Source organism: Homo sapiens, chromosome 8 (assembly GCF_000001405.40).
Source record: "Homo sapiens chromosome 8, GRCh38.p14 Primary Assembly".
NCBI classification, from domain to species: domain Eukaryota; kingdom Metazoa; phylum Chordata; class Mammalia; order Primates; family Hominidae; genus Homo; species Homo sapiens.
The window spans coordinates 94437836-94462457 of record NC_000008.11 but is presented as its reverse complement, the minus strand read 5'-3'; the positions used below and the strand labels follow the sequence as shown (position 1 = coordinate 94462457).

At 38.4% G+C, this 24622-nt stretch overlaps 1 protein-coding gene across 2 annotated transcripts in view, besides 3 other annotated features; it reads left to right on the top strand.

Moving 5' to 3' along the window:
• Positions 1–24622, top strand: part of RAD54B (RAD54 homolog B) — a 103156-nt gene that overhangs the window by 12658 nt on the left and 65876 nt on the right. For both annotated transcript variants that reach the window (NM_012415.3, NM_001205262.3), the window contains exon 3: positions 4022–4190. In NM_012415.3, the coding sequence (NP_036547.1) occupies positions 4022–4190 (169 nt within the window). The remainder of the gene's footprint in view (positions 1–4021; positions 4191–24622) is intronic.
• Positions 17406–17938: an enhancer, noted in NCBI's record as "NANOG hESC enhancer chr8:95456748-95457280 (GRCh37/hg19 assembly coordinates)". NCBI's record gives its function as "activates a minimal SCP1, AML or CMV promoter by ChIP-STARR-seq in primed H9 embryonic stem cells {active_cell/tissue: H9 hESC(primed)}" and the evidence as "EXISTENCE:reporter gene assay evidence [ECO:0000049][PMID:30033119]".
• Positions 19952–20021: a silencer, noted in NCBI's record as "silent region_19366". NCBI's record gives its function as "represses an Ori minimal core promoter by ATAC-STARR-seq in GM12878 lymphoblastoid cells {active_cell/tissue: GM12878}" and the evidence as "EXISTENCE:reporter gene assay evidence [ECO:0000049][PMID:35858748]".
• Positions 21423–21752: an enhancer, noted in NCBI's record as "active region_27630". NCBI's record gives its function as "activates an Ori minimal core promoter by ATAC-STARR-seq in GM12878 lymphoblastoid cells {active_cell/tissue: GM12878}" and the evidence as "EXISTENCE:reporter gene assay evidence [ECO:0000049][PMID:35858748]".

The window sequence follows — 24622 nt, the reverse complement described above, 5'->3', positions numbered from 1 at the left end:
ATAAATGAATAAATAAATAAATGAAGATTAAACTCTTCCTTACAGTGGAATGCTAAAGCATAGAAGTAGAAGTAATGATGGTGTTAGAGAGTCTCAATGGATGCCAAAACTAGTGGGTAAATGTTCAATGAGGAAATAGGATATTTGAATATATTCAAGTATCTCCTCACAACATACTTAAAAAAATTACAAAGGGAAAAATACTTTGGCAGACACCACCTTAATCAGTGATCAAAGTTAATACCTCTGGTAATGGAACAAACCGATATTATGTGCCTCCTAATATGATGAACTGTTGTATTCTTGCCCCAAATTCACAATCTGAAACTAATCATAGGGAAACATCAGACAAATCCAGATTGAGGGATATTCAGCAAAATAACTGGCCTTATTTTGAAATTTTGAAATTTCAAGACCAGAAACGATGAATGAAGTTAGAGATTGAAGGAAACTAAAGGAACATACTGACTAGATGTAATGTGTGATCTAGGATTGGATCCTGATTTGGGGAAAAATCTATAACAGACGTTATTGCGATAAGTGACCAAATTTGAATATAGACTGTGGATTAGATACTGGTATTATACCAGTGTTAAATAATCAATTTTGATAATTTTACTGTGATTATGGAAGAGAGTCTTTGGAAACACACCTTGAAGTATTTAGAGGCGAAGGAGCATAGCGTCTGCAGTTTACTCTCACGTGTGTGTGTACACACATACACAGAGCAAAGGAGGAGAGGGAAATGGAAGAAAATGTAAACCAATGGTTAATATGGGTAAAGGTATATAGGAATACTATTTTTGGAATGTTACCATGAATTTGAAATTATATGAAAATAAAATGTTGCAAAAAAGAAAATTTGTGACCTTCATTAGTTGACTTACTTTAATATCTGATCAGATATAAAAAATATAAAAAAAATTTATCAGGTTTTTTTTTGGAAAATTTATTTACTAACCATGAAATTTATTAAGATGAGTATTTATGGCCGGGTGTGGTGGCTCACGCCTGTAATCCCAGCACTTTGGGAGGCTGAGGCAGGCGGATCACCTGAGGTCAGGAGTTTGAGACCAGCCTCAACATGGAGAAACCCCGTCTCTACTAAAAATACAAAATTAGCCGGGTGTGGTGGTGCATGCCTGTAATCTCAGCTACTCGGGAGGCTGAGGCAGGAGAATTGCTTGAACCTGGGAGGCGGAGGTTGCAGTGAGCCGAGATTGCGCCATTGCACTCCAGCCTGGGCCACAAGAGCAAAACTCCGTCTCAAAAAAAAAAAAAAAAAAAAAAAAAAAAAGATGAGTATTTATAATAACATGACAACTTTGCCTATTATTGTGAGTTTCTATTTAAAAAAAATTCAACCATTTACTACTGTGGTAGACAGAAAAAATGGCCCTTTAAACATGTTCATGTCCTAATCACTGGAATCTGTGTTACTTTACATGGCAAAAGAGACTTTGCTGACGTGATTAATGTTAAGGACCTTGAGATGGGGAGGTTACCCTGGATGATCTGAGTGGGCCCATTATAATTATAAGTGTCCTTAGAAGTGGAAGAGAGAGAGGGAAGAGGATCAGAGAAAGAGATGGTGATTAGGGAAGCAGGGTCAGAGAGATGTAACATAGTTGACTTTGAATATGGAGGAAGAGGGCTAAGCCAAAGAATTTGTTTGGCTTCTAGAATTTTGAAAAGACAAGGAAATATATTCTCTCCTGGAGCATCCAGAAAGGAACTCAGCCCTGGTGATAACTTTGATTTTAATGCAGTAAGACCTAAGTCTGAGTTCTAACTTGCGAAACTATAAAATGATAAATTTGTGTTGTTCAATGCCACCAAATTTCTGGTAATTTGAGAGAGCAGCAATAGAAAACCCATACATATACAAAAAAAAGAGAAAATAGCACATAATGAACTTCCTTGTCCATATTACCTAACTTCAACAATTGAAAATGTATGACTGATCTTTTTTTTATTTTTATTTTTTGAGGCAGGGTCTGGCTCTGTTGCCCAGGCTGGAGTACAGTGGTGTGATCTCAGCTTGCTGCAACCTTGGCCTCCTGGCCTCAAGCCATCCTCCCACCTCAGTGTTCAAAGTATCTGGGACTATTGGAACACACCACTGTGCCTGGCTAATTTTTGTATTTTTTGTAGAGACTGAGTTTCACTATGTTGCCCAGGCTGGTCTCAAACTCCTGAGCTCAAGGACTCTGCTTGCCTTGGCCTCCCAAAGTGCTGGGATTACAGGTGTGAGCCACCATGCCTGGCCATGACTGATCTCGTTTCATCTTTTTTTTTTTGAGACGGAGTCTCGCTCTGTTGCCCAGGCTGCAGTGCAGTGGCGCAATCTTGGCTCACTGCAATCTCTGCCTCCTGGGTTCACGCCGTTCTCCTGCCTCAGCCTCTAGAGTAGCAGGGACTACAGGCACCCGCCACCACGCCCAGCTTATTTTTTGTATTTTTAGTAGAGACCGGGTTTCACCATGTTAGCCAGGTTGGTCTCGATCTCCTGACCTCGTGATCTGCCTGCCTTGGCCTCCCAAAGTGCTGGGATTACAGGTGTGAGCCACTGCGCCCGGCCTAATTTTTTATTTTTTTGAGACAGGGTCTTGTTCTGTCGCCCAGGCTGGAGTACACTGGTGCATTCTTGGCTCACTGCAACCTCTGCCTCCTGAGTTCAAGCGATTCTCCTGCCTCAGCCTCCTGAGCAGCTGGGATTACAGGCGTGCACCACCGTGTCTGGCTAATTTTTGTTTTTTCAGTAGAGACGGGGTTTCACCATGTTGGCCAGGCTGGTCTTGAACTCCTGACCTCAAGTGATCCACCTGCCTTGGCCTCCCAAAGTGCTGGGATTACAGGCGTGAGCCACTGCGCCCGGCCTCTTGTTTCATCTTTAGTTTTCCACTCCAGCTCAAGTCCCTCCCTTCTTATTTTGATGCAAATTCCAGGAATATGCTTTCATTTGTAAATTTTTAGAATATGTCCCTAAAATATAAGAGCTTTTTAAGGCCGGGTATGGTGGCTCACCCCTGTAATCTTAGCACTTTGGGAGGCCTAGGCAGGAAGATTGCTTGAGGCCAGGAGTTCAGACCAGCCTGGGCAACATAGTGAGACCCCATCTCTACAGAAAAAAAAACATTAGCTGGGTATGGTGGCACATGCTTGTAGTTCCAGCTACTAGGGAGGCTGAGGTGGGAGGATCCCTTGGGCCCAGGAGTTGAAGGCTGCAATGAGCTATGGTCGTGACACTGCACTCTTCAGCCTGGGTACCAGACCGAGACCCCATCTCTTAAAAAAAGAGGTGGGGGCTTGTTAAAAAAACCCAACATAGTGAGATTACCATTATCTCACCTAAAAATATTTAAGTATTGATTTTAGTATTGAGAAATTTAACAAGAAAAAGAGCATTTTATTATGAGAATGGCATGTTATGATTTGTTTAAAAACTTCTGATATGTTTAAAATACACTATAATTATAAGCATAATTTTTCATTCTGTCATATCATTCAGTTTTAGTAGCATAATTTAAAATAGTTCTAAAAACAAGCAATAAAAATTAGATTTTAATTAATTAGTTAATTTTTTTTTTTTAGATGGAGTCTCACTCTGTTGCCCAGGCTGGAATGCAGTGGTACAATCTTGGCTCACTGCAACCTCCGCCTCCTGAGTTCAAGCGATTCTCCTGCCTCAATCTCCCAAGTAGCTGGGATAACAGGCACTTGCTACCACGCCAGGCTAATTTTTATATTTTTAGTAGAGACAGTGTTTCACCATGTTGGCCAGGCTGGTCTCAAACTCCTGACCTCAAGTAATTCACCCGCCTCGGCCTCCCAAAGTGTTGGGATTACAGGCATGAGCCACCATGCCCAGCAGATATTAATTTATTTTTAAATATCTAGTTCTAGTTTATATATATAACCAGTATGTCCTGTTTTAAATTAGAATCTTTTATGTAAAAATACAGAAAATACAGAAAATTAGGTTTGAGTTCTGATTTAAATATATATTTGTTTCTTTTAGGGTGTTGCAATTAATAACACCTTTCTCCCGTCACAAAATGATCTTAGAATATGCAGTTTAAATCTGCCTAGTGAAGAAAGTACTAGAGAAATCAATAACAGAGATAATTGCAGTGGAAAATATTGTTTTGAAGCACCTACACTGGCAACATTAGATCCACCTCATACAGGTAAGACTGCTTTTTATTGATAAGGTTTATGCTTGACCAATAGTATTACAGTATTCTTTAAATGATGTTTTAAGAATGAATATGTTATATTAGAAAATTGTTGATGTAATACCACTACATTGTTGGTAGTTCAGGTTTTTTGTTGTCATAATTTATCTTTAGTGATTGGATTAATAACTGTGTGATTAAAGTGCTTTATAGTAGATGTATGCTTAAGACTGTTGATTATAAACTTGGTCAAATGTGATCTTTTCCTCAAGAACCAAGATTGTGTTTAAAGATAGGATTTATACATTTTTTTTCTAAAAAGCATGTTAATAGGACTAAAATTGGAGAGTTGAACTTGAAAGTAGTTACTTGTTAATTCATTAGAGTCTGGAGTACTTCAAATCAGAGTTGAATTATTATGATACATACTTGCATGAAAACCAAGCATTTAACAAATGCTCCATCCCTCTATTGTTGAACTGAGTTAAAATAATGATTATGGTTCTTTTTGTATATGTAAGAGAACACTATTTGTTAGGTAACTAAAAAAATAATTAAGATGGTTCATAGATGTTTATTTGGTCTTGTGAAAGCCATCATTAGACTGTATTTTTCCAAATTACATTTTATTCATGTTTTGGTTGAATGAACAGATTCAGCCAGCCGGCCCCATCTGTTGGGCTACAGAATAGTAACTGCCATCCTTATGATACCAGTGCAAATCAACAAAGTGCCCTAAGCACCATTTTGAAGGAAGTTCTTGGACTTCCTGATGATTAATGAATTTTACCTGTGAATGGGTTTGTATCTTGTCCGGACAGAAAGGAATTCTGTATTTACCTAACTGGCCATTATCTTGGTGCCATTTATGTGCTCCTCATAACTTTTCAAAAGCTGTGACTGGTGTCAGAACAAGGTGGAGAAAGACTTTTTGAGCTGATTCAGTATAGGAAGATCCCTAGGAACAGCTCTGGGCATGGCAGTTTAGCTCTGCTCTATCTTACTGACTTGCTCTCCCTTCTTTCCTCCCTATTTTCCCCACTTCCTCCTTCCTTGCTTCCATCCTTGTTAGGTGACTATTCTGTTTTCCCAGATTTTCTTTTCTACTTTAAGCCCGAGGTAGAAAATGATCCATGTATGCCCAGTTCTTTTCTAATTTCTTCATCAGAAAATGACATTTAGACTCTGGAATATAATACCTTTTATGTTACTAATCTTGGGCTTTATTTGTATTCTACCATAGTTTCTCATTCTCTTCCCTGCTAAATTTGAGAAGGGAGTTAAGAGTTAAGATAAAATAAAGAGGGAGTTAACTTACTCAACTCCTAATCCCGTAATCCTTTCTCTGATTAGTACATTCAGTGGACTGGAGAACCTGTGCCAACCTCCTGATACCCTCCTGTTTCTTGTTCAGAAAGAGGTTAAATTGGGGAAAAAAGCTTTGTGAGAAATGTTTTGTTCTCTATGGTGGATTGTTGGAGAGGGATGTAGCATATAGAAAAGCATAGAGATGAGAGACCTGTTTAGTATCCACTCACCCTTTCACATCTTTTTCATTCTTGATCTAATCCACCTTGAAATGAACTACAAATCTGTATGTCCCAGTTAAATAACATATGTCATTTTCCCCATCACCTTTTTATTTTGAAATATGCCTACAAACTCTCGAGTTGAAAGAATGACGCAATTAACATCCTAAACTCACCAGTTACTAACATTTTGCCTCATTTGTGTGCTTTCTCTCTTTTTCTCTATGTAGATGCACTCCCCTCAACCTTTTGAAAATAAGTTGCATATATCATGCCACTTTACCTCTAGCCACTTAAGTGTGTATTTCTTGAAATAAATGTTTTCTCCTGCATAACCACACATTGTTATTATACCAAACAGGATTAATAGTAATTCATAATATTTAGTTCATTGTTAATGTCATTTTTGCTTAAGCTAGTTTCAGTTTGGTTTCTCTTTCAACTGAAAGAGCCCTGATAAGTACATTTTCACTTTCTTGAATTCACGGGACACTTTGAGTCTCTTCATAACACTGCGTGTTTACAGATAATATCCTTTGTGTGAGAATGAAGATGTAGGTCTACCACTAATGACTTCCCCCAAAGCTTAGGGAATGTGATTTCTTTGGGGGTTGTGGTAGAATGGCCATAGGACCCACTTCTATCTTTTTTGATCCAAGCTCCACAGGTGTTTCTTTTCATGAACAATCCAGTTCAGTACTTTTGACCCTGGGCTTTCAAAAACCAAATTCTGGGAGAGGGGAAATGTAGTGGCTTCAATTGTGTCTCCTAAAGATATATGTTAAAGTCCTAAGCCTTGGTACCTATGAATGTGAACTTATTTGGAAATAGGGTCTTTGCAGATGTAATCAAGATAAAGTCATACTGGATTAAGATAGACCCTAAATTTAATGACTGGTGTCCTTATGAAGAAAGAGATAGAAACACAGAGGGAAAAAGACCATGTGATGGTGGAAGCAGAGATTGGAATAACCACCCATGATTGCTGGAAACCACCAGGGGCTAGAAAGAAGCAAAGAAAGATTCTCCCTTAGAACCTTCAGAGAGAGCATAGCCCTGCTGCCACCTTGATTTTGGACTTCTGGTTTCCAGACTGTGGGAGAATAAATTCTGTTGTTTAAAGCCACCCAGTTTGTTACAGGAGTCTCAGAAATAAATACAGGAAGCCCCAGATCTCTTGGGTATTCAGAGCTATATAGTTTCTTTAGAAAAAGAGAAAGTTTTTTTATTCTTTCTGATTCTTTCTCATTCTGAAGAACTGTGAGAGGAGACTATGCCATCTTCTGTTATCTGTTTACCTGAATCTCCTTCACAAAACTGTGACATGCAAAGGCAGGAATGTTCTCTTGTTAAGGTTTTAAATCAAACTATATAGATTTAAAAATGTTTTGTGACTGAACAAAGAGATCCTGAGAAACTTACAGTTTTCTCTAGTTGAGTCTCTTGGCTGTCTTTGGCTTCAGAGTGCTTCAGGGAAGTCAAGTAGCCACAAAGAGGCTATTGGAACATTATAGTTTGCAGGCTCTGGTAATATTTGAGAGAATAATTTCACAAGTGTTTTGGAACAAAAGTCATGCTGTAATGGATATGTGATGAATGGAAATAGGCCAGTGGAGGAAGTGAATGCGAGTAAGTATGTAAATAAAGTTTGTAAGTAAATAAATAAATTCGGTAGTGAAGGAAGTAGTATCTCGAGGAATGGTAGGGGGCTAGAGAGTTTTGTTGTGTTTTTGTTTTAAGGTAGTATGTTGTAGGCTGAGAGGAAAAAGGTAGTGAAGAGTGGAAGATTAAAGGTATAACAGGGGAGTGATAAAAATCTTTCCCCATTGGAGAAGTTAGCTAAATGTTTCTTAAGTGGGTCTTAGGTCCTTGGAGATGGTTGGGCATATTCTCAAGGGTTTATAAATTCTCAGATAAGTTAGACTTTTGTGTTTTCTTTTAAATGATATGAATAAAAGTGTATACGCTCGTGCTAGATCTTTTGGATAGCTGCCTTATAATTGAGTGCCATTACAAGATTTTATGCCTGCAGATGAGAACAAGTAAACAACTGTATAAGTGGTATACTCTTGCCAAATGAAGGTTTCCCATATTCAAATAGGGATGGTGAATGAATTAAGCCATCTCATCCCCTATTGGATAAAAGGCTTGTTAAACACAAAAGATGTGTGTCAAATCTGTTGGTATCATATTTATATTGTAATTAGCAGTTTAAACTTAGCAAAATATTACTATCATGAAACTAATATATTTTAAAATATTTTATTGGTTTTATTTGTATTCATAAATGTTTGTTTTTTAATTGTGATAAAATATACATAACATACAATTCACCATTTTAATCATTTTAAAGTATACAATTAAGTGGCATTTAGCATATTTACAATGTTGTACAACTGTCACTTCTATCTAGTTCCAGAGCATTTTTCTCTAAAAAGAAACCCCAGATCAATTAAATAGTCACTCTCTTTCTCTCCTCTCTTTCCAGCCCCTGGCAACCACTAATTTGCTTTCTGTCTCTATGGGTTTACCTATTCTGGATATGCGATGTAATGAGAATCATGCAATATGTAATCCCTTGTGACTTTTTTTTTTTTTTAAAAGGTAATGCACGCACATGGTAAAAAACTCAGAAGATGTTAAGAGTATAGTAAAAAGTTGGCCGGGCATGGTGGCTCACGTCTGTAATCCCAGCACTTTGGGAGGCTGAGGCGGGTGGATGACCTGAGGTCAGGAGTTCAAGACCAGCCTGGCCAACATGGTGAAGCCCTGTCTCTACTAAAAATACAAAATTAGCTGAGTGTGGTGGTGCACACCTGTAATCCCAGCTACTTGGGAGGCTGAGGCCAGAGAATTGCTTGAACCCGGGAGGCAGAGGTTGCAGTGAGCCGAGATTGCGCCGTTGCACTCCAGCCTGGACAAAAAAGAGCAAAACTCCATCTCAAACAAACAAACAAAAAGGGAATATAGTAAAAAGTCTCCCTTCCCTGTTACATAGCTGTCTACTTCCCTTCCCCAGAGGTAACCAGTTACTAGTTTTTTGTATGTCTTTTTTGAAGTATTCTAGAAACATATTTGTATACATATATATTTTTTTCTCCATCTAAATAATTGTTCACTAGCTTCCTTGTTCTATACATTGCATTTTTACTGCAACAGTATATCACTGAAATCTTTTTGTCAATGCATTTAGAACTACCTTATTTATTTATTTATTTTTTTGAGACGGAGTCTTGCTCTGTCACCCAGGCCGGAGTGCAGTGGCGTGATCTCGGCTCACTGCAACCTCTGCCTCTGGGTTCAAGTGATTCTTCTGCCTCAGCCTCCTGAGTAGCTGGGATTACGGCACCTGCCATCACACCTGGCTAATTTTTTTGTATTTTTAGTAGAGACAGGGGTTCACCATATTGGCCAGGCTGGTTTTGAACTCCTGACCTCAAGTGATCCGCCCACCTCAGCCTCCCAAAATGCTAGGATTACAGACGTGAGCCGCTGTGCCCGGCCAGAACTATCTTATTTTTAAAACTAATTCCACTGTGTGGATGTGCCAAATGTACTTAACCAATGTCTTAATAATGGATATTTAGTTTGTTTGGGATCTTTCGTTATTACAAATAGAGCTACAATAAATATCTATATAATATATACATATAGGAGACTATGTTCATAAATACCTTGGAGTAGGATACTCATCACAAGGTATATGCCTTTAGCATTTTGATGGATAATGATAAATTGCCTTCTACAGAGGTTAGTACAGGTTTATACTCTCATCAGCAATGCGTGAGGAGTGCATTTATCATGTATTGTGATGCTCAATCTATATGTAAGTATATATTCATATTTTTGATATTTGACAATCTAAGTTAAACAGTGTTATTTTGTTGTGCTTTCAATTTAAACTTTTTGATGTTAAAGATTATTTAAAAATTACAGAAAAAATTAAGGATAGTAGGCTGGGTGTGGTGGCTCAGGCCTGTAATCCCAGCACTTTGGGAGGCCGAGATGGGTGGATCATGAGGTCAGGAGATCGAGACCATCCTGGCTAACACAGTGAAACCCCATATCTACTAAAAATGCAAAAAATTAGCTGGGCGTGGTGGTGGGTGCCTGTATTCCCAGCTACTCTGGAGGCTGAGGCAGGATAATGGTGTGAACCCAGGAGCGGAGCTTGCAGTGAGCTGAGATAGCACCATTGCACTCCAGCCTGGGTGAGTGCAGACTCTATCTCAAAAAAAGAAAAAAGAAAAAATTAAGGATAGTATAAAAAACTTCCACAAATTTAACATTTTTGTGTGTATTGTATGTATATGTGTAATGTTTCAGTACTAGTTGAGAATAAGATACTGACATGGTGCTCCATCACCTGAAATTCTTCAGTATGTATTTCCTAAACAAGGACAGGCTGCTATATGATAAAGTACAGAAGTACAACAGTCAAAATCAGGATATTAACACTGATACAATGCTATGGTCTGAATGTTTCTGTTTCTCCAAAATTCATATGTAGAAACCTAAGCACTAATGTGATGGTATTAATATTAGGAGGTGAGGGCTTTGGGAGGTGACTGGGCCAGGAGGGTGAAGCCCTCATGAATGAGATTATTTCCTCTGTGAAACAGGCCCCAGAGAGTTGCCATTTCTCTTTCACCATGTGAGGACACAGGAGACAGTGCCATCTATGAACCAGAAAGGAGGCCCTTACCAAACACTGAATCTGCCAGTTTCTTAATCTTGGACTTCCCAGCCTTTAGATCTGTGGGAAATACATTTCTATTGTTTATAAGCTACCCAGTTTATGGTATTTTGTTATAGCGGCCTGAATGGACTAAGACAACGTCCTTTATGGCAGAAACAAATTTAAAAATGAATAAACTTTTTTTTTTTCCTGCTGGACCAGGATATGTGTTGTATTTAGTCATCGTGTCTTTTAGTTGCCTTCAATCTGGAACGTTTTCTTAGTCTTTGCTTCTATTTTGTGACTTTTTAACTTAAGGAGTACAGGCCAATCATTTGTTGAATGCTTATCAGTTTGGGTTTGTTTGATATTTCCTTATAATTAGTTTTAGTTTACACATTTTTGGCAGAAATATCACGGAAATAGTTCTTAGTATATCAATCAGAAGGCACATGATGTCAATTTATCCCATTACTGGTGATAATAAGTTTGATTATTTGGATAAATTGGTGTCAGCAGGGTTTCTTCACCATAAAATTATTTTTACCTTTGAAATTAGTATCTATGGAGAGTTACTTTGAAATTTATTACTATAATTGTTGCCAAATGTTAGTTTTCTCATTCCATCTATATTTATTAGTTGGCATTCTGTTGCAAGGAAGAGCTTTCCCTTCTCCCCCATTTATTTGTTAATTAATTTTTATGGATTCATAAATGTCTGTTTTATTCAGTGGGTTATAATCTGTTATCATTTATTATGATGCTCAGATTGTCTCAGATTTGGCCAATGGGAATCCTTTTACCAGGGTTCCTGTGTCCTTTTGACAATCCCCATCAGTTTTTGAGCGTTTTTGTGCTTCCGGCACAATAAGATCTTTCCTGCCCCAGCTGTAGAAATCATTCAAGAGCCCTAGTTCTTTTTTGGTGGAGAAGTGTATTTAAAAACCAGGAACTGACCACTAGGTGTACTCATTGATACTGCAGTGTTATTGCTTTTAGCTCTTCTAGCAGTCAAAACTCGAAAATCTATATATGATTACATCTATATTTATCTATAAATATTAAAAACCATCAGCTCATACCAATACCTCCAATTCTAATATAGTACCCCAGGGTTCATTTTAGTTTGCAGCCCTTTCTTTCATAGTGAAAAATTTGGTTATTGTTATCTTAAATATATTTACCTATTAATTTCTGTTTAACCAGTCTATCAAAAAGGGACCAAATTTAATAGTAAATTTTTTTTTTTTTTGAGACAGTCTCATTCTGGATTCAAGCAATTCTTGTTCCTCAGCCTCCCACGTAGCTGGGACTACAAGCGTCCACCACCACACTCAGCTAATTTTTGTATTTTTAGTAGAGATGGGGTTTTGCCATGTTGGCCAGGTTCGTCTCGAACTCCTGGCTCCAAGTGATTTGCCCACCTTGGCCTCCCAAATTGTGGGATTACAGGCACGAGCCTGGCTGAGATTTTATATCCTTATTAAAAGTGCTTATTTGAATAGAAGTTAGTTATACTTTTTCTCACAGAAACTATGACATGATAAAACTTCTTTTGTTTGTGTATGACTCTTTTAGCCCCATCATAAAAAGGGTTTTTGCATAGTATTTGTGGATTGCTTAACTTTTCCTAGGGGCCTAAAATTCTTTGATATTCAGGTCAGTCTCTTTCCAAGTACCTATCATGTCAACCTTTTGCAAGATTTGCTGTTTCATTTTGTAGTTGATTGTCATGCAGTCTCAAAGAGACTTTGATATTATGGTTGAGGTTTAAGGGACATTTGAATGGAAACTGATTTTTAAAAATTTGTGACCAGTTGATTGGTGAATCTGTTTTCTTTTCTAGTGGCTCTTACTTCCTTATATAACAACCTAGACATAACTGCAAGGAATCAGATATTGAATATTCAGAGCCACTATATCTTTTTCCCCATAGAAAATTCTCCACAGACAATTGAGTTTTGAGGAGATCATCCTTTGTCCTTTAGGGCTCTTTTATGAAGATTTGGGTCAGGGAATAAATTAGGTTTTATGATTTTTGGGCGTATGAGCATTGTTTCTGATCCACACAGTCAGTAGTCCAGTCTGCTGAAGAAGGGGAAACATGATAGGTGTATCCTTTCTCCTTTCAAAAATACACCATTGAAGATAATTCTCCCCTAACTAATTTGCCTTCTAGTTCTTGTCCTAGTTGTCAGGATTAAGAAGGGCTTTTGAGGAAACCTATACACTGGGACTGTTCTTTTGAATTCCTGCCTTGGATGGAAGTGAATAAAAAAGGTCCTAAAGGTACTAAAAAAGGTCCTGGTCATTTGAATATTGACTCTCTCATATGCATCCTTCCAAATCATCCTAAAGGATGTTTGAAACTACTGAGGTGTTATCCAGGGCTATTTCTAGGAGGTTGGGTTATCAAATTCTCTCCAGAGTATAGACCATTTCCTTCTTTTTTTTTTTTTTTTTGGAGACAGAGTCTCACTCTGTCACCCAGGCTGGAGTGCAGTGATGCGATCTTGGCTCACTGTAACATCTACCTCCTGGGTTCAAGTGATTCTCCTGTCTCAGGCTCCTGAGTAGCTGGGATTACAGGTGCCCACCACCACACCTGACTAATTTTTGTATTTTTTTAGTGGAAACAGGGTTTCACCATGTTGGCCAGCTGGTCTTGAACTCCCGACCTCATGTGGTCCGTCCGTCTCTGCCTCCCAAAGTGCTGGGATTACAGGCGTGAGCCACTGCACCTGGCCACCAGAGTATAGAGCATTATTTTTTAGATGGGTCACTCAAGGGAAGAGGCAACAACCTGATGATATGGATATTGGGCAGTAGTTAATTAACATGGGTTCTAGAGGGTTGTCTGTGTGTGTGTGTGGTGGGGGGCGGGGGGGAAGGGTGTGGTATAAGACCTAATATTAAAGCTCAATTTAAAACATTTTAAAAATAAATTTTATTGTGCATACCTGAGGTTTACAACATGATGTTATGGGAGATATATATGTGTGTATGTGTGTGTGTGTGTGTGTGCATGCATGTGTGTATGTATATGCATGTGCACACACGTACATATATAGAGACAGTAAAATGGTAATATAGTGAAGCAAGTTAACATATTACTCATCACATATACTGTTTTTTGTGTGTGACCAGAGCACCTAAAATCTACTTATTTAACAAAGTACCTAATACAATTTTATTAACTATAGCCTTCATGTTGTATATTAGATCCCTAGACTTGTTCATCGTACATATCCACTACTTGTATCCTCTGACGCGTATCTCCCGATTTCCTCTCCCTCCTCCCCCACCAACCCACCTTTCTGTTCTAGTAACCACTGTTTTATTTTTAATCTCTGTATGTTTGGCCTTTTTTTTTTTTTTAAAGTAACATTCCACATATAACGTGAGATGCAGTATTTTTCTTTCTGTGTCTGGCTTAATTCATTTAGCATAATGTCATCCACATCCTTCCATGTTGTGGCAAATGACAGAGTCTCCTTTTTTAAGGCTGAATGATATTCTATTTTGTGTATGTGTGTGTGCTCCCATGATGCAGCGAACATGGGAGTGCAGATTTTTGAGATGGTGATTTCATCTCCTTTGGGTGTGTGCCAAGAAGAGGGATTGCTGGGTCATATGGTAGTTCTATTTTTAATTTCCTGAAGAACCTCCATAATGGCTGCACCAATCTTCATTCCCACTAACAGTGTACAGGGTTCCCTGTTCTCCACACCCTTGCCAACATTTGTTATCTCCTGTTTCTTTTTGGTGGGGGAGTGGGGCGGAGGAGACAGGATCTTGCTTGGTCACCCAGGGTGGAGTGCAGTGGTACAATCATAGCTCAATGGAAAGACAAAAAAAACCCAAAACTATAGAATAGTTGAAATAATAATGACATTCAGCCTCTACTTTTTGGAGAATGAACTGTCTTCCTATCTTGTCTTTCATTTGAATCCTCATTTAAAAACAAAATGTCAGAGAAGTGGTAATTTGAGCAAGGTAACATAGGCAAAGAAGAAAACACAAGGGAAAGAAAAAAATAACCAAAAAGAATATATTTTTATATCAGCTAATATGCTTTTGGTTCAAGTATCGATAAAAATACTAGCTTATATAACTGAAGGTTTTTATTGGCATGTATAACTGGAAATTCCAGGCTTCAGGGCTGACTGGTCTAGCAGTTTAAAGGATATTGTCATGAGCCCAGTTTCTTTCTATTTATTCCATCTGTCATCTGCAGGATGGGTTGCATTCTTAGACTGGCTCCACTCATGTTAAATGATGGATCCCAGCAACTACTGTGGCCACACGCTTTTTCTCATCTATCTCATGACAGGCAGATGGTTCCTACTCAGAATCACTAAATAAGATTTCCTAACTTTGTGCTATTGCTGACCACTTTCCTGTGACCAGGGGTTTTTCTAATCCCAGTCTTAGTTTGCCATCGTGAAGAGGAATCCTTACCAGTTTCTGAGAATCCTCAGTGTACGAAGCAGGCACATACTTTTCATCTCCTTCCTTAGAAGTGAGAGTTATTTCACCCAGATTTTCTGGCTGCAACACAATGAGTGAGTGGTGTAGTGAATATTGTGAGACGCCACCAGCAAACATAATGTTGACTATACTGATAAAATGATTAAGTGAAAGAATGGCTAAAATAAATAAGAGTAGCTTAGCAATGTTTGCAGTATACAAAATTCATCTAAAGGGCAGGCCAGCTTCTGAGGCAGAGAGGCTCCTTTAGCTCAACATATTTTTACACCAAGGACAAGACTTGGCCAAACAGAGATCCTTAATAGACAGCTGGGAGCTATTTTGTGAAGATATATGTAAATTTAGATTATATAGAGTAGGTCTGTGATTCATGTAGCATGGGTGGAGTAAATTTTATAATTTGACTCCTTTGGTTTTGTGAGGGTTTTCAAGGTCCTTAAATCCTAGGTTTTGATTGTCTTAACTGCTTAACATCACAGAATATCACCACCAAAGCACAGTGATGAAGTGTGAGATATTTAAATGCTGTAACTGAGAATAACTCTTAGAGATTGGATTTACCCTAGTTTTTGCCCTATTTTTATGTGACAGATTTTTTTTTTTTTAAGTCTTATCTTCCTCTCATGTTGCATTGTGATTATATCAAACATAATCTTATGTGCCCCTTCAGAGTCCCTTGGCACCATCTGCCTCGTAGAATTTTCTGCTGCCACTGGAGGCTAACCAGTTGCTTCATCTGAGGAATGAGGGCCCTATGCCTTGGTGGCCACCATCTAGCTAAGTTTATGAACCATACTCTGGGAGGGTCTGGCTCCTCCTGCCACTTCCAATCTTGGGTATAACGCCACACAACATCCTTGTAGGTAGCACCCTAAGCATCTGTGAAGGCCAGATGACACAAAATGAAGTGCAGTGTACTTCAGGGTGGACTTTGACCAGTGGGAAATAGGAGACAGGAGGGAACCTGCCAGATAAATTTCTTTTCCCACATGGACTACTCTGAGGTATGGTTTCTTTTTGTAGTCTATCAGGAGACATTCCACAAAGAGTACACCAAGTGGATGCATTTGTTAAGTGACCTACTATTTTTTTTATAGCTTGTTGTAAAATGGTAGCCAGCACTTTCCCTTGCTTTATATATTTTCTTGCCTCAGTTTACCTTCTCTTCACCTTTGATGCCCTGTGTATGCACCTCTCAAGTGAAACATCAGCATTTTAATCAGGCTCTGTTTGCCAGAGAACTGGGCCAAGACAAAGATTAATAAGGCATATAATTCTTATCTTGACTCTTTTGGACTACCTCCTAAAATACAGAAAAAATTTCTGTAATCACTGTACTTTTTGTGCCTTAAAAAGAGTTTGTGGAAAAAATCACCCCTACCCCACAATTATTCTTTACTATTATATCTAATTTATCTAAGTTTTAGTAATTCAACTTTGTTCAAACTTTGCACATTTTTAATGGCTAAAGACTTTAAAATACACTACTTGCTATGTTTTCTTTTTAATGATAATTTTTGAACATTTTATTATGATACTTTAAAAAATCTTACATAAATGTTGAAAGAATTTTGTGTTGAACACCCATAAACCTACCATCTCAAGTCTACAATTAAAATTTTGCTATATGTGTTTTATTATATATTTATCCATCAATCTACATTAATTTTAAAAAAGAGTTCTAAAGTTTCAAATATGAGTACGTTTTCCTCAAAATAATTCATGCAATTCATTAAGATTAATGTACTTAAGCCTAAGTGTGGTGGTTCATGCCTGTGATCCCAGAGCTTTGGGAGGCTGAGGTGGGAGGATCACTTGAGGCCAGGAGTTCAAGACCAGCCTGGGCAACATAGTGAGGCCCTGTCTCTTAAAAAAAAAAAAATTAATGTACCTAAATACATTCTTTTCATAAAACTATCTAAAATACTGCAGATACAACTCAGCTGTTATTGTGGGTGCTGTGCTTCAAATAAATGGTGTTATTCAGTATTTATCTGCTTACAACTTTGACACTTGTGAATAAAAAAATCAAGACAATTAAAGTGGTAAAAACAAATTTTATTCAGTAACCACTGGCAATAGGGGAAAGAGCTGAGCTCCATGATTTGTGCAGTCATGACTGGGCCTTTTAAAGGGAGAATGAGGGAGTACGGAAGGGGAGCAACTGAGGGCTCAAGTAGCGTCAGGAAAGTGAAAATTACAAAGGGCTGGTGCTGTGGTTTGAATGTTTGTTTTTCCCCCACATTTATATGTTGAAATCCTAACCCCCAAGGTGGTGATATTAGGAGGTAGGGCCTTTTGGGAGGTAATTAGGTATGAGAGTGGAGCCCTCATGAATGCGATTAGTACCCTTTAAAATAGGCCCAAGAGATCTCATTTGTTCCTTCTACCATGTGACGACATACTGAGATGGCGTCATCTAAGAACCAGGAAATGGGCCCTTACCAGACACCAAATCTGCTGGTGTTTTTATCTTGGACTTCCTAGCTTCCAGAACCACGAGAAATAAACCTGTGTTGTTTATAAGCCACCCAGTTTATGATACTTTGTTATAGCAGCTCCAGGCTAAGATAGTTGGTCATTGTAAATGTGAGTGGGTCAGGTGTGCCTGCTCGCTGACAGTTATCAAAATTAGGATTCTGTCCTTCCACAGAGACTGGGACACAGAGATCCAAACCTTCCTGATGATTACATTTCAAAGGAGTGGCTTTCTGGTTCTTGAGAAAGACACTGCTGAGTTGTAGGAGATACATACACATCTCAAAGGGACAGAGGAAGAATTTACAATTGTAAACTCTTCTTAGTGCTCTAAGAAAGGAAGGTCAGGGGCCTATAGTCAGGTGTTGGCTAGAATAAACAGTAAGCTTCTTTTGATAGCCCTGAACTTCTCCAGACAGACTGGAGCTCAAAAGGAGGCTGGGTATTCCAGGGCTGAGTGGAGGTGGGCTAGGCTACTAGAAGCTTTGCTAGAGTTGGTCAAGGCTCTTAGAGCAAGAATTTGGATGGAGTTGTTTGCCAAGAATTATTTACAGTTCTCATTAGTTTGCCTTGGATGTTTTTTGTTTTCATTTTAGAACACGTAGATCCACCTTATTCTTTTTAATTGCTGCAAAGTATACCATGGTATGAATACATCATAGTTGTTTTTAGTTTTAGTTTTTTTTTTTTTTTAACTATTAAAACCTCTGCAGTGAACATCCTTATGCATGTGGTCTTGTGAACATATGCATGTATTTCTCAGGAGTTGTCAGATCATAATGTGTTTGCATTACACTTTAATATGGTCTGCCAAATTGCCTTCCAAAATGACTGCCATCATTAGTGTATGAGAGAATTTATTTTCCCAACTTCTTCAACACATGTTACTAAACTTTTTAACTTTTGCCAATTGAATGAGGAAAACCTACTGTTATCTTTTGTGTCTCCCTGTTTACTTGTGAAGTTGAGTTCTTTATATGTTGGACATTTGTGTTTTATTCATTAAGTTATCTGTATTCTACAACCATTTTTCTATTGTATTTCATAAGCATAAAATTTAATATAAATTTTATATGATACAGGAGCCTTCATAAGTAAATGAAGACTCAAAAAATTGGTAAACTTGTATATTTTTTATTTTTACAGTTTATTTTTATTTATTGATACATAATAGTTGTACATATTTTGGGGGTGCATGTGATATTTTCATATATGCATACAATGTGTAATGATCAAATCAGTATATTAACCAAAAATGTGACTCAATCAGAGGTTTATTAAGCCAAAGTTTAAGGATACACCTGGGAAAAACACAAGTCACAGGAGCATCTGTTACCTGTGCTTTCCAAAAGAGGGTTTCTGGAACTCAGTATTGAAGAATAAAGAGCAAGCAGAAGGGACAAAGGAAGGTAAGAGAGGCAGTGAGACAAATGGTTACATTTTTGTGAGGCTCTAATTAGTGCTCAGTAAATCTGTGTTTTACATAAGGTAAGGTAAACATTTGAAAAGATGGAGTAGAGGAAAGAGTCAGTTATGCATCCATCTCGGGTTAGCCGAAGGAGTGATTTTTTTTTTTTTGATAATTTCATTTTATTCCCTTGGGTTATTACTATTATTATTTTTCTTAAACTTTTATTTCAAGTTCAGGGGTACATATGCAGGATATGCAGGTTTGTTACATAGGTAGATGTGTACTCTGGTGGTTTGCTGCACAGGTCATCCCATCACCTAGATATTAAGCCAACATTCATTAGTTATTCTTCCTGATGCTCTCCTGACCATCCCTATAGGCCCCAGTGTGTGTTGTTCCCCACAATGTGTCCATGCGTTCTCATCATTCAGCTCCCACTTATAAGTGAGAACATGCGATATTTGGTCTTCTGTTGCTGTATTAGTTGGCTGAGGATAATGGCTTCCACCTCCATTCATGTCCCTGCAAAAGACATGATCGAAGGAGTGATTTTTTGTCTTGTCCCTGTTGTGTACCTAAGAAGGTAAGCTTGTAATTGACATTGTCAGCATGAGATTTAACAGAACTCAGTTTTGAGAGTTAAACTTAGGTTGCACACCCAAGGTTACAATTGGCATGTGCTGGTTTTAGGGGATATGTATCCTGAAAGGTTTAGTGACTAGGAAGGGATTTTCTTATGAGAAATTTGTGAGGGAGGTATATGTCCTTTTGCCATTGCGGGACAATGCTGACTTAACGTGTAATGCTATGACACAGGGTTGTGAAATTATAGCTCTGGGGGGAAAGAGGAGGAAGGAAAGGCAGTGTTGCATGACTAATTTTCTAGGTTTAACTTTCCTTTTGGTATAATGAGTTTGGGGTCCTAAGATTTTATTTTCTTTTACAAGAGTAATTAGGACAGCCATCACCTCAAACATTTTTTATGTTGGGAACATCCCAATTCTTCTGTTTTGAACTATACAATAAATTGTTGTTGACTATAGTCACCGTATTATATTACTGAACACTAGATCTTATTCTTTCTATTTAACTGTACTTTTTTTTTTTTTTTTTTTTCTGAGACAGAGTCTCGCTCTGTCACCCAGGCTGGAGTGCGGTGGCGCGATCTCGGCTCACTGCAAGCTCCGCCTCCCGGGTTCACGCCATTCTCCTGCTTCAGCCTCCCGAGTAGCTGGGACTACAGGCGCCTGCCACCACGCCTGGCTAATGTTTTGTATTTTTAGTAGTAGAGACGGGGTTTCACCATGTTAGCCAGGATGGTCTTGATTCCTGACCTTGTGATCCGCCCACCTTGGCCTCCCAAAGTGCTGGGATTACAGGCGTGAGCCACCGTGCCCAGCTTTTAACTGTACTTTTGTACCCATTAACCAACCTCTCTTAATCCCCACCTCTCCTTCCCAGCCTCTGGCAACCACTAATCAAGTCTCTACTTCCATGAGATTCACCCTTTTAGCTCCCACATGTGAGAGAGAACATACGGTATTTGTCTTTCCGTGCTTGGGTTATTTCACTTAATATAATGACTTCCAGTTCCATCCATGTTGCTGCAAATGTCAGGATTTCATTTTTTATAACCAAATAATATTCCATTGTGTATATGCAGTTCATTTTCTTTATTCATCTGTTGATGGACACTTAGGTTGATTTTTTTGCCTTTGTTTATTGACTGTTTCGTAAACATTTTGTTTCACAAAAATCTCCAACTGAAGTTAATAATAGGTGATATTGTGGAATATATGTTTGGCCTTTGACCCCGTTTCCCTGGTATACAACTCCTAAAATCCTTACGACCTCCAAAGTAATGTCTGTTTGTGTGCTAGTGATTGATTGATGGCTGACAGCCCCTAGGTAGTTTCAGGATGTGAGTTGGTTACGTGAAAGACCAAGGCACCATTAGAGAGTTGGAACGTTCAGCCTCACCCCTATCTCTGGGGAGAGGAGAGAGGCTGAGGGTTAAATTGATTACCAGTGGCCAGTGATTTAATCAGTCATGCCTATGTAATGAAGCTTTCTTAAAAAGCCCAAAGCCCTGTGTTGTAGAGCTTCGAGATAGCTGAATAAGTGGAGGTTTCTGGGGGTTGTGCCTGGGGTGGGCATGGAAACTTTGTGTCCCTTCCACCATAACTTGCCCTATGCATCTCTTACATCTGGCTGTTCATTTGTATCCTTTGTAATATCCTTTATAATAAACTGGTAAGCGTGTTTCTGGAGTTCTGTGACCACTCTAGCAAACTAATAGAACCCAGAGGGGATTGTGGGAACCCCAACTTGAAGCTTTTTGGTTAGATGTTCTGGAGGCCCAGACTTGTGACTGGTTGTGTAGCAGGACGAGCCACAGACAAAACCTCTCAGACACCGAGTTGTAGAAGGAAGGGCTTTATTCAGCTGGGAGCATCGGCAAGCTACTGTCTTAAAATCTGAGCTCCCTGAGTGCACAATTTCTGTTCCTTTTAAGGGCTCACAACACTAAAGATTTCACATGAAAGGGTCGTGATTGATTTGAGCAAGCAGGGAGTACGTGACAGGGGCTGCATGCACCGGTGGTCAGAGTGAAACAGAAAAGAGCAGGGAGTTTCACAGTGTTCTTCCATACAATGCCTGGAATCTATGGGTAACATCGGGTTCTAAGTCATGAGTTAATTTTTAACTACTAGGTTTAGGCCAGGCAGGCCCAGGCCTGGTTTTGGACCTGGCGCCGGGCTGCCTGTCTTTGATTTCACTTCCTTGTTTTTTTCTTAAAACAGGTACTGAGTATAAAACAATATAAAACAATATGAGAGGGTCTCTCTCTTCCCTCAGGTGGGGCCATGGGGTTTGTGGTACTGAGCTCTTAACCTTTGAGATCTAACACTATCTCCTGATAGTGTTGGAAAGTTGAATTAGAGGATACCCGGCTCCTCTCCACTGCAGAACTTAACTTCTTGCTTGGTGTGTGGGGAGAAACTCCCACACATTTGGTCACACAAGTCTTCATGTTGATTGTTGTGGTGTGAGAGCAGAGGAAAAACAGTTTGAGTTTTTCACTCTCAGACAGCACAGTGATTCTTCATAAAACTCTATGACTACACCAACGAGCATTGGCAAAGAACAAAAAATTATTCGATGTCTTTTACCAGTTCCATAAACTGGCAGTGATTCATAGCATTTACACATATATTCGTAATATTCTTAACAAGTATATCCATGATACCTTTTCATAGTCTGCTTTAGAAAGTCCTGCATAGTATTTTCCACTTAATTCTGCATCAGTAGTATAGCTTCTTTTAATTTAAAAACTTGTCCATTCTATTTTTAAACTAGAAAGATAATTTTATTGTAATATAATCAAACAGTAATAAATATTTCAGATTAATCATCAATTACAATTTACATAGGTTATCACTAATTTGTGCTGTCTGCATTGAGGACTAAGCTCTGATTTTTTTTTTTTTAATCTTGCCTAAATTCCTATCTAAGGGGTCTGGGGAATCATGCTCTGTAAACCATACATTCTCATCAGATGGTTTTATTTAACCCTGTATATCATGACTTACTTTCCGATCTGACTCTGGCATAACATGGAAGAAAATAAAAATATTTTACCCCAAAACATGTTTCTCTGCCATATCTTGAAATGGTCGTGCAAAGCCATCCCTTGTGGGAAAAATCCACATTCTATAGAGAATCCACTTTCCCCTTGTTTTCCTTCCTTCCTTTCTAGATCCAGGAGATAATCAAGTAAGAGCCAGGCACTCTTTTAGGTCTGATAATAAACAATATACAACCTGTTCTCTCTGAAGTCTGCTATCTGAGAGCTTCCTCTGCACAATAAAACTTGGTGCCTACAATCCTTTATCTTTACCTGAACATACATTTCCTTTCTATTGATCCCAGGTCTTCAGATAAACTCAACCAATTGTAAACCAGAAAACGTTTATAGCCTGGAACACCGCCCCCGCCGCCACCCCGCCCCCGCCTTGAGTTGTCCCGCTTTTCTGAACTAAACCAATGTATTTCTTAAATATATTTGGTTGATGTCTCATGCCTCCCTAAAATATATAAAAGTAAGCCATACGCCACCCACCTTGGCACATGTTCTTAGGGCCACCTGAGGGCTGTGTCTTTGGCCATGGTCACTCATATTTGGCTCAGAATCAATCTCTAAAAATATTTTATACAGAGTTTGACTCTTTTCGTTAACAGCGTGATATATTCAAACACACTATGATCTGCGTCTTTCATTTTAATGCTGCCTGGAGTAGACCATGATATGGATGTATTGTATGCTTTTAACTCCAACTGATGTGCTTTTAGATTGCTTCCACTGTATGCAACTGCAAAGAATGCTTCGTTGCTCCCGTGTGCATTTTATTTTTCTAAGGTATATTCTGAGACATAAAATTACCACAATTTTAGAAGATTTCCTACTCATGTAAAATATTAGTAGATACTTCCAGATCACCATCCAAAATGTCATTTTACACTCCCTTCAGTGGTACAGAAGAGTACTCTTTCCCTTCTATCCTTTTCCACTCTTGGAGTCTTCTTTTTTTTCTTTTTTTGAGGCAGGGTCTCGCTCTGTCACCGAGGCTGGAGTGCAGTGGCATGATTATGGCTTAGTGCAGCCTCAACCTCTTGAGCTCAAGTGATCCTTCCACCTCAGGTTCCCGAATAGCTGGAACTACAGGCATATGCCACCACACCTGGCTAATTTTTGTATTTTTTGTAGACATGGGGTTTCTCCATGTTGCCCGGTCTGGTCTTGAACTCATGTGCTCAAGTAATCCTTGGCCTCTCAAAACTGTTGGATTACAGGCCCATGTGCCACTGAGCCTGGCCTCACTCTTGGCATTTTAAGTCTTAAAAAATTTTGCTAATCTAGGAATGAAAATCATTTTTAGTATACATTTCCCTGATAACTAGTGAGATTGAACATTTTTTCATATTTTAGTAGTGTTTCATTCTTAACATAATACCTGTATTTCTTCTGAAAATAACAAAATAATTATCTAAAGTATATACCCTGTGTTCTGTAATACCTGTATTTCTTCTGAAAATAACAAAATAATTATCTAAATAAAGTATATACCCTATGTTCTTTCTTTGGTTCTCTTTTAATGTTCCAAAAGCTCAGAAAATGCTAGAATGATTTTGAGTACCTGTGGTCCAGTTGTTGTTGGGGCAGGTCGATTTTCTTTTTGCATCTCTATGGACAAGAATCATTTGCATTACTGATTTCTACAATTTACAGAGCTGTGAAACTGCTCAAAGACAATGAAAGGGTAGAACTATTATGGAATCAAATTACTCAGTAGCGTATACCAGACAACATCTAGCATTCCGTAGAACATCCAGCAATCTTTCACTGTTTTCTGAAAGATAATACACTTAAAGCTTTTAACACATTGGCTCACAGTGAGAGCTCAGTAAATGTAATTTGCTTCTCCATTGTTAAAAGAATGAAAAACAAGATAATTGAGAATTTATAGCATTTCTGTGGAACTACAGTTCCCTGGATAGGTGCTGTATCTAGATTCATTTTTGATTTCATTGGGTCTTGCACAGTGCCTGGGAGCATTTATATACGTGGTCAGTAATTAAAAACAATTTATTTTTCCTACCTCTTAATAACTATCACAGTTGTTCAGTAATAGTTTTATTGGATAGAACTATGTTCAAGTATGTTCTAATTTATTCCCCTATCTGGAAAAATATGTATATTGTGAGAAAATAGGTTTGTCTTGCTTACATTATTATGTATCATATATTTTCATACTGGGGTTAACAAATATATTCTAAGCACCGAAACTGGTGGCCT